Source organism: Homo sapiens, chromosome X, assembly GCF_000001405.40.
Source record: "Homo sapiens chromosome X, GRCh38.p14 Primary Assembly".
NCBI lineage: Eukaryota > Metazoa > Chordata > Mammalia > Primates > Hominidae > Homo > Homo sapiens.
Genome location: NC_000023.11, coordinates 64656899 through 64666707, shown reverse-complemented (window position 1 = coordinate 64666707; position 9809 = coordinate 64656899). Strand labels below are relative to the sequence as shown.

The 9809-nt window shown below is 43.4% G+C and overlaps 1 annotated feature.

Moving 5' to 3' along the window:
- Positions 8794 to 9569: an enhancer, noted in NCBI's record as "OCT4-NANOG-H3K27ac hESC enhancer chrX:63877019-63877794 (GRCh37/hg19 assembly coordinates)". NCBI's record gives its function as "activates a minimal SCP1, AML or CMV promoter by ChIP-STARR-seq in primed H9 embryonic stem cells {active_cell/tissue: H9 hESC(primed)}" and the evidence as "EXISTENCE:reporter gene assay evidence [ECO:0000049][PMID:30033119]".

Genomic DNA, 9809 nt, shown 5'->3' with positions numbered 1-9809 from the left:
GCTTGTTTCTGTTTTCCATTTGCTTGATAGATATTTCCCCATCCATTTATTTTCAGACTATGGATGTCATTGCATGTGAGATGGGTCTCCTGAAGACAGTATACCATTGGGTCTTGCTTCTTTTCCAGCTTGCCCCTCTGTGTCTTTTAATTGGGACATTTACCTCATTTTCGTTCAAGGTCAGTATTGATATTTGCAGATTTGATCCTGTCATCTTGTTGTTAGCTCGTTATTTTGCAGACTTGTTTGTGTGGTTGCTTTATAGTGTCACCGATCTGTGTAGTTCAGTGTGTTTTTGTAGTGTTTGGTAATGGTCTTTTCTTTTCTTATGTAGTGGTCCTTTTAGGACTTCGTGTAAGGCAGATCTGGTGGTAAAAAATTTCCTTAGCATTTGCTTGTCTGATGAGGATTTTATTGTTCCTTCACTTGTGAAGCTTAGTTTGGCTAGACATAAAACTCTTGCTTGCAAATTTTCTTCTTGGGATGGGGGAGGGAAAGCATTAGGAGATATACCTAATGCTAAATGAAGAGTTAATGGGTGCAGCACACCAACATGGCACATGTATACATATGTAACAAACCTGCACATTGTGCACATGTACCCTAAAACTTAAAATATAATAATAATAAAATTAAAAAAAAAGAATGCTGAATATAGGTCCTCAATCTCTTTTGACATGTTGGGGTTTTTAGTAAAAGATATGCTGTTAGTCTGATGGGCTCCCCTTTATAGGTGACCTTCCCCTTCCCTTTAGCTGCATTTAATATTTTTTCTTTCATTTTTACTTTGAAGATTCTGATGATTATGTGTTTTGGGAATGGCCTTCTTGAGTATTATCTCACAGAGGTACTCCTCATTTCCTGGACTTGAATACTGACCTCTCTAGCAATGTTGGGAAAATTCTCATGGACAATATCCCTAATACACTTTCCAAGTTGCTTACTTTCTCCTCATCTTATCCAGGGATACCAATGGGTCATATATTTTGTCTCTTTACATAATTTCGTATTTCTCAGATGTTTTGTTCATTCTTTTTTCTTTATTTTTGTCTGACTGAATTATTTCAGAGAGCCAGTCTTCGAGCTCTGAGATTTTTTTCCCTCAGCTTGGTCAATTCTACTGTTAATACTGGTGCTTGCAGTATGCAATTCTTTTTTTTTTTTTTTTTTTTTTTGAGACAGAGTCTCACACTGTCACCCAGGCTGGAGTGCAGTGGTGCGATCTTGGCTCACTGCAAGCTCCACCTCCCAGGTAGCTGGGACTACAGGTGCCCGCCACCACGCCTGGCTAATTTTTTGTATTTTTAGTATAGATGGGGTTTCACCATGTTAGCTAGGATGGTCTTGATCTCCTGACCTCATGATCTGCTTGCCTTGGCCTCCCAAAGTGCTGAGATTGCAGGCGTGAACCACCGCGCCTGGCCTATGCAATTCTTATAGTGTGTTTTCAGCCCTATAAGATCAATTTGGTTGTTTTTTATTATAGCCATTTTGTCTATCAACTCCTGTTCTTTTTACTGTGATTTGTAGCTTCCTTCAATTGGGTTTCAATGTTCTCCTGAATTTCAGTGATCTTCATTTCTAACTATATTCTGAATTCTATTTCTGTCATTTCAGCCATTTTAGCCTCATAAAGAACCCTAGCTTGGGAACTAGTGTGGTAATTTGGATGAAAGAAGGCACTCTGACTTTTTGAGCTGCCAGAGTTCTTGTGTTAGTTCTTTGTCATTTGGGTGGGCTGATGTTCCTTCAATCTTTAAAGTTGCTGTTTTTTTGGACAGATTTTGTTCTGCTTTTTCCTTCTTTGATACCCATAGGGTTTGATTATGGTATAAGGTGGGTTTGGTTCACTGGCTTCAATTCTAGTCTGCTCCTGGTTCTTCGAGGAGCCCCCTCCAATTACTATGTCTTTACCTGCATTTCTTTTGTTGGGTGTTCTGGTCCACAGGTCTCCCTCAGGCAGAGATTGTACCTAGCCGCCAAAAGTATCCTTCCCAGAAGACCTAATCTGCGGTTCATGTGCTTTCTGGGGAAACATGGGGTTGCCCCTGTCTGCAGAGTTTAGGGAGAAGTGAGACCACTAGGTGGAAGCCCCAGTGGGTGTGTCCCATCTGGCTATGGGAGGCAGGGTTGAGTGTAGTTGCCCACCCTGTTGTCTAGGTGTTTCTAGGGCAACAGAACGCTGTGCCCCTTGGCAAATTCAGGCAGAAATAGGACCAATGGGCTGGAAGCTCTAGCAGGCATGGCTCACCGGGCTACCAGCGGCAAGTGTGGGTGAGGATGCCCACCCTGCTGTCTAGGTGCTTCCTGGAACATCAGGAGGTTGTGTTCATCAGCTAAGTTCCCATAGATGCAGGACCACTGGGCCAGAAGCCCTAGCAGGTGTTGCCTGCCTGGCCATCAGTGGCCAGATTTTGTGAGACTTATTTACTATCATGAGAACAGCACAGAAAAGACTTGCCCACATGATTCAATTACCTCCCATCCTGTCCCTCTCACAACAAGTGGGAATTCAAGATGAGATTTGGGTGGAGATGCAGCCAAACCATATCACATGCCCTGCCATCTCAGTGTTTCCTGGGACATCAGGAGGCGGTACCCTTCAGCCAAGTTTCCACAGAAGCTGGACCACTGGGTTGAAGCTCTAACCAGCATTTCCCGCCTGGCTATGAGTAGTAGGGCTTAGTGGGGTCACTGTCCCTGCCATCTGGGTGCTTCTTGAGACAACAGGAGGCTGCACATGCTGGTTGAGTTTACACAGAAGCAAAGCTGCTGAGCTGGAAGTTCTACCAAGAGTTACCTGGCTGCCAGTGGTGGAGGTGGGTGGGGTCTTGCATTCAGCTGTCTGGATGTTTCCTGGACAACAGGAAGCTGAGCCTTCTGGCTGAGTTCACGCAGAAGTGGGGCCACTGGTCCAGAAGCTCTAGTAAGTATTTCCCACTTGGCCACCAGTGGTGGGTGTGGATGGATTCATGTGCTCTACCATCTGGGTGTTTCTTGGGACAACAGAAAGCTGTGTCCTCTAGCTGAGCTCACACAGAAGTGGGGCTGCTGGGCTGCAAGTTTTAACAGATGTTGCTCACCTGGCTACCAGTAGTGGGGCATATGGGGTCACGTGTTCTGTCATCTGGGTATTTCCCAGAGAACAGAAAGCTGTGCCCTCCAGCTGAGTTTACAAAGAAGTGGGACAGCTGGGGCAGAAGCTCTAGTAAACATAGTCCTTTTGGCTATCAGTGGCAGAGGTGGGTAAGGTTATGTACTCTGCCCTCTGGGTGTTTCCTGGGACATCAGGAGGCTGTGCCCTCCAGCTGAATTCACCCAAAAGTGGGACCACTGGGCTGGAAGTTCTAGCAAGCATTGTCTACCTGGCTATGAGTGGTGGGGGTAGGTGGGGTAGTCAGCCAAATTTGGGCCAAAGCAGGACTGCTGGATCAGAAGCTGATGCTGGGTCTCAACTGGCAATGGTGGGTAGAACAATCTTTCTGCTCCCAGATACCATAACTGCAGCCTCTATTGGGGTTACGGGACCAGGGCTTGTCACCTCCATGGCCCAAGGCTTATAGATATCACTTGGACTTCAGAGTTGCTTCCACAGGGTGGCTCTCTAAGTCTAGAAGCACAGTTGGGGGAGGGGTGCATGGGAGGTGGGGATTCTCCTATTCCTAGTCTTGCAAAGGTTCTTGTGGAGAGTGTGAATCCCTTAGGAACTCTTACCCACCTTTTTCCCTGTTAGAGAGATTTTTCTGGCTCTGCTCTGAGCTGAGACAAGCTGGTGTCCAGCTTTTCTCCTCTCTACTTTTTGTGCTCTTTTCCTGCCTTGATGGATGCTGATGGGTCTTCCCAGAAGATCAACCTGCAGGGGCAGTGTTCGCTAGCCATTGTTTCCTCTCCATGAGAGCAGTACACATGAGCTGCTTCTAGTCTGCCATCTTGGCCCTGCCCTATGTCTTTTTTAAGGATCACACATATAAATTAGAATATGTGATATTTTTCTTTCTCTATCTGGGTTAATTTTTTTAGCCTAATCTTGTCTTCTGGGTTTATCCATGTTGTCACAAATGGCAGGATCCCTGTTTTAAAAGCTAAATAATACTTAGGGGGATTGCTGGCAAGATGGCCAAATAGGAACAACTCCAGTATGCAGCTCCCAGTGAGATTGATGTGTAAGGGGGGGGTGATTTCTGCATTTCTAGCTGAGGTACCAGGTTCATCTCATTGGGACTGGTTGGACAGTGGTTGCAGCCCATGGAGGGAAAGCCAAAGCAGGGTGGGGAGTCGCCTCACCTGGGAAGTGCAAAGCAGGGTGGGGAGTAACCTCACCTAGGAAGTGCAAGGGTTCAGGGAATTTTATCCCCTACCCAGTGAAAGCCATGAGGGACTGAGCCTGGGCAACTCTTCACTCCAGCCCAGATACTGTGCTTTTCCTGTGGTCTTCACAACCTGCTGACCAGGAGATTACCTCTGGTGCCTACCCCACCAGGGCCCTGTGTTTCAAGCACAAAACTGGGCAGCCATTTGTGCAGACACCAAACTAGCTGCGGGAGTTTTTTCCCCCCATATCCCAGTGGCGCCTGTAATGCCAATGAGACAGAACTGTTCACTCCTCTGGAAAGAGGGCTGAAGCCAGGATGACAAATAGTCTGGCTTGGATTGAGCCTGGTGGAGGGAGGGGCATCTGCCATTGCTGAGGCTTTAGTAGGTTGATTTCCCTTCACAGTGTAAACAAATCAGCTGGGAAGTTTGAACTTGTCAGAGCCCGCAGCAGCTCAACAAGGCTGCTGTGGCCAGACTGCCCGATTTCTCTTCTCTGGGCAGGGCATCTCTGAAAAAAAGGCAGCAGCCCCAGTCAGGGACTTATAGATAAAACCCCCATCTCCCTGGGACAGAGCACCTGGGGAAGGGGTGGCTATGGGTGCAGTTTCAGCAGACTAAAATGTCCCTGCCTGATGGCTCTGAAGAGAGCAGCAGACCTCCTAGCACTGTACTCGAGCTCTTCTAAGGGTCAGACTGCCTCCTCAAGTTGGCCCCTGACCCCCAGGCATCCTGACTGGGAGACATCTCCCAGTAGGGGCTGGCAGACACCTCATACAGGAGAGTTCTGGTTGGCATAAGTCAGGTGCCCCACTGGGATGAAGTTTCAGAGGAAAGAACAGGCAGCAATCTTTGCTATTCTGCAGCCTCCACTGGTGGCTGCAAAACTCCAAGAAAACAGGGTCTTGAGGGGACCTCCAGCAAACTCCAGCAGACTGGCAGCAGAGGGGCATGACTGTTAGAAGAAAAATTAACAAACACAAAGAAAGAACACATCCACTCAGAGACCCCATACAAAGGTCACCAACATCAAAGACAAAAGGTAGGTAAATCCACAAAGATGGGGAGAAACCAGCACAAAAAGTCTGAAAATTCCAGAAACCAGAACACATATTCTCCTCCAAGGGATTATAACTTCTTACTAGCAAGGGAACAAAATAGGATGGAGAATGAGTTTGATGAATTCACAGAATTAGGCTTCGGAAGGTGGGTAATAACAAACTCCTCTGAGCTAAAGGAGCATGTTCTAACCCAATGCAAGGAAGCTAAGAACCTTGAAAAAAGATTAGATGAATTGCTAATTAGAATAACCAGTTTAGAGAACAACATAAATGACCTGATGGAACTGAAAAACATAGCACAAGAACTTTGTGAAGCATACACAAGTATCAATAGTTGAATCAATCGAGTGGAAGAAAGGATATCAGAGATTGAAGATCAACTTAATGAAATAAAGCGAGCAGACAAGATTAGAGAAAAAGGAATGACAAGGAACAAACAAAGCCTCCAAGAAATATGGGACTATGTGAAAAGACCAAATCTACGTTTGATTTGTGTACATGAAAGTGATGGGGAGAATGGAACCAAGTTGGAAAACACTTTTCAGGATATTATCCAGGGGAACTTCCCCAACCTAGCAAGACAGGACAACATTCAAATTCAGGAAATGTAGAGGACAACACAAAGATACTCCTCGAGAAGAGAAACCCCAAGATACATAATCGTCAGATTCACCAAGGTTGAAATGAAGGAAAAAATGCCAAGGACAGCCAGAGAGAAAGGTCGGGTTACCTACAAAGGGAAGCCCATCAGACTAACATCAGATCTCTTGGCAGAAACACTACAAGCCAGAAGACAGTGGGGGACAATATTCAACATTCTTAAAGAAAAAAAAATTTAACCCAGAATTTCATATCCAGCCAACGTAAGCTTAATAAGTGAAGGAGAAATAAAATCCCTTACAGAGAAGCAAATGCTGAGAGATTTTGTCACGACCATACCTACCTTACCAGAGTCCCAGAAGGAAGCACTAAACATGGAAAGGAACAACCGGTACCAGCCACTCCAAAAACATGCCAAATTGTAAAGACCATCAATGCTATGAAGAAACTGCATCAACTGATGGGCAAAATAACTAACATCATAATGACAGGATCAAATTCACACATAACAATATTAAACGTAAATGGGCTAAATGCCCCCAATTAAAAGACACAGACTGGCAAATTGGATAAAAAGTCAAGACCCACTAGTGTGCTGTATTCAGGAGGCCCATCTCACATGTAAGGACATACATAGGCTCAAAATAAAGGGATGGAGGAATATTTACCAAGCAAATGGAAAACAAAAAAAGGCAGGAGTTGCAATTCCAATCTCTGATAAAATGGACTTTAAACCAACAAAGATCAAAAGAGACAAAAAAGGGCATTACATAATGGTAAAGGGATCAATGCAGCAAGAAGAGCTAACTATCTTAAATATATATGCACACAATACAGGAGCACCCAGATTCATGAAGCAAGTTCTTAGAGATTTACAAAGAAACTTAGACTCCCACACAATAATAATGGGAGACTTTAACACCCCATTGTAAATATTAGACAGATCAATGAGACAGATAATTAACAAGAATATTTAGGATTAAACTCAGCTCTGGACCAAGCAGTTGTAATAGACATCTATGGAACTCTCCACCCCAAATCAACAGAATATACATTCTTCTCAGTACCTCACTGCACTTATTCTAAAAATGACCTCATAATTGGAAGTAAAACACTCCTTAGCAAATGCAGAAGAATAGGAATCATAATAAACTGTCTCTCAGACCACAGTGCAATCATATTAGAACTCAGGATTAAGAAACTAACTCAAAACCACACAACTACATGGAAACTGCACAACCTGCTCCTGAATGACTACTGGGTAAATAATGAAATGAAGGCAGAAATAAAGAATTTCTTTGAAACGAATGAGAACAAAGACACAATGTACCAGAATCTCTGGGACACATGTAAAGCAGTACATAGAGGGAAATTTATAGCACTAGATGCCCACAAGAGAAAGCAGGAAAGATCTAAAATCAACATCCTAACCTCACAGTTAAAAGAACTGGAGAAGTAAGAGAAAACAAATTGAAAAGGTAGCAGAAGACAAGAAATAACTAACATCAGAGCAGAACTGAAGGAAATAGAGATACAAAAACTCCAAAAAATCAGTGAATCCAGGAGGTGGTTTTTAGAAAAGATCAACAAAATACACATGAAAAAAATGCTTACCATCACTGGCCATCAGAGAAATGCAAATCAAAACCACAATGAGATACCATCTCACACCAGTTAGAATGGCAATCATTAAAAAGTCAGGAAACAACAGGTGCTGGAGAGGATGTGGAGAAATAGGCACACTTTTACACTGTTGGTGGGACTGTAAACTAGTTCAACCATTGTGGAAGTCAGTGTGGCGATTCCTCAGGGATCTAGAACTAGAAATACCATTTGACCCAGCCATCCCATTACTGGGTATATACCCAAAGGACTATAAATCATGCTGCTATAAAGACACATGCACATGTATGTTTATTGCGGCACTATTCACAATAGCAAAGGCTTGGAACCAATCCAAATGTCCAACAATGATAGACTAGATTAAGAAAATGTGGCACATATACACCATGGAATACTATGCAGCCATAAAAAATGATAAGTTCATGTCCTTTGTAGGGACATGGATGAAATTGGAAATCATCATTCTCAGTAAACTATCGCAAGGACAAAAAAACAAACACCGCATGTTCTCACTCATAGGTGGGAATTGAACAATGAGAACACATGGACACAGGAAGGGGATCATCACACTCTGGGGACTGTTGTGGCATGGGGGGAGGGGGAGGGATAGCATTAGGAGATATACCTAATGCTAAATGACGAGTTAATGGGTGCAGCACACCAGCATGGCACATGTATACACATGTAACTAACCTGCACAATGTGCACATGTACCCTAAAACTTAAAGTATAATAATAATAAAATTTAAAAAAAAGAAAAAAAAAGAAAAAAATGAAACTTAGCTTTCTCTAATAAATATGTTAAAAGAAAAAAAAGAAAAGATCAACAAAATAGATAGACTGCTATCCAGTCTAATACAAAAGAAAAGAGAGAAGAATCAAACAGAAGCAATAAAAAATGATATAGAGAATATAACTACTGATTCCACAGAAATACAAACTACCATCAGAGAATACTGTAAACAGCTCTACACAAATAAACTAGAAAATCTAGATGAAATGGATATATTGCTGGACACACACACCCTTCCAAGCCTAAACCAGAAAGAAGTCAAATCCCTAAATAGGCCCATAAAGGTTCTGAAATTGAGGCAGTAATTAATAGCCTACCAACCAAAAAAAGTCCAGGATCAGATGGAATCACAGCCAAATTCTACCAGAGGCACAAAGAGGAGCTGATACTATTCCTTCTAAAACTATTCCAAACAACAGAGAGAGAATCCTCCCTAACTCATTTTATGAGACAAGCATCTTCCTGACACCGAAACCTGGCAGAGACACAATAAAAAAAGAAAATTTCAGGCCAATATCCCTGATGAACATTGATGCCAAAATCCTCAGTAAAATATTGGCAAACAAAATCCAGCAGCACATCAAAAAGCTTATCCACCACGATCAAGTTGGCTTCATCCCTGCAATAAAAGGCTTGTTCAACATATGCAAATTTTCATGCGCATCTGTGCAAAGAGACTGCCAAACAGGCTTTGTGTGAGCAATAAAGCTTTTAATCACCTGGGTGCAGGCGGGCTGAGTCCGAAAAGAGAGTCAGCGAAGGGAGATAGAGGTGGGGTGGTTTTATAAGATTTGGGTAGGTAAAGGAAAATTACAGTCAAAGGGGGTTTGTTCTCTGGCAGGCAGGAGTGGGGTCGCAAGGTGCTCAGTGGGGGAGTTTTATGAGCCAGGATGAGACAGGAAAAGGACTTTCACAAGGTAATGTCATCACTTAAGGCAAGAACCGGCTATTTTCACTTCTTTTGTGGTGGAATGTCATCAGTTAAGGCAAGGACCGGCCATTTACACTTCTTTTGTGGTGGAATGTCATCAGTTAAGGAGGGGCAGGGCATTTTCACTTCTTTTGTGATTCTTCAGTTACTTCAGGCCATCTGGGCATATCCGTGCAAGTCACAGGGGATGCGATGGCTTGGCTTGGGCTCAGAGGCCTGACTTTCCTGCCTTCTTATATTAATAAGAAAAATAAAACAAAACAGTGTTGAAGTGTTGGGTTGGCGAAAATTTTTGGGTGGTGGTATGGAGAGGGAGAATGGGCGATGTTTCTCAGGGCTGCTTCAAGCGGGATTAGGGGCAGCGTGGGAACCTAGAGTGGGAGAAATTAAGCTGAAGGGAGATCTTGTGGTAAGGGGTGGTATTGTGGGGTTGTTAGAAGAAACATTTGTCATATAGAATGATTGGTGATGGCCTGGATACGGTTTTGGA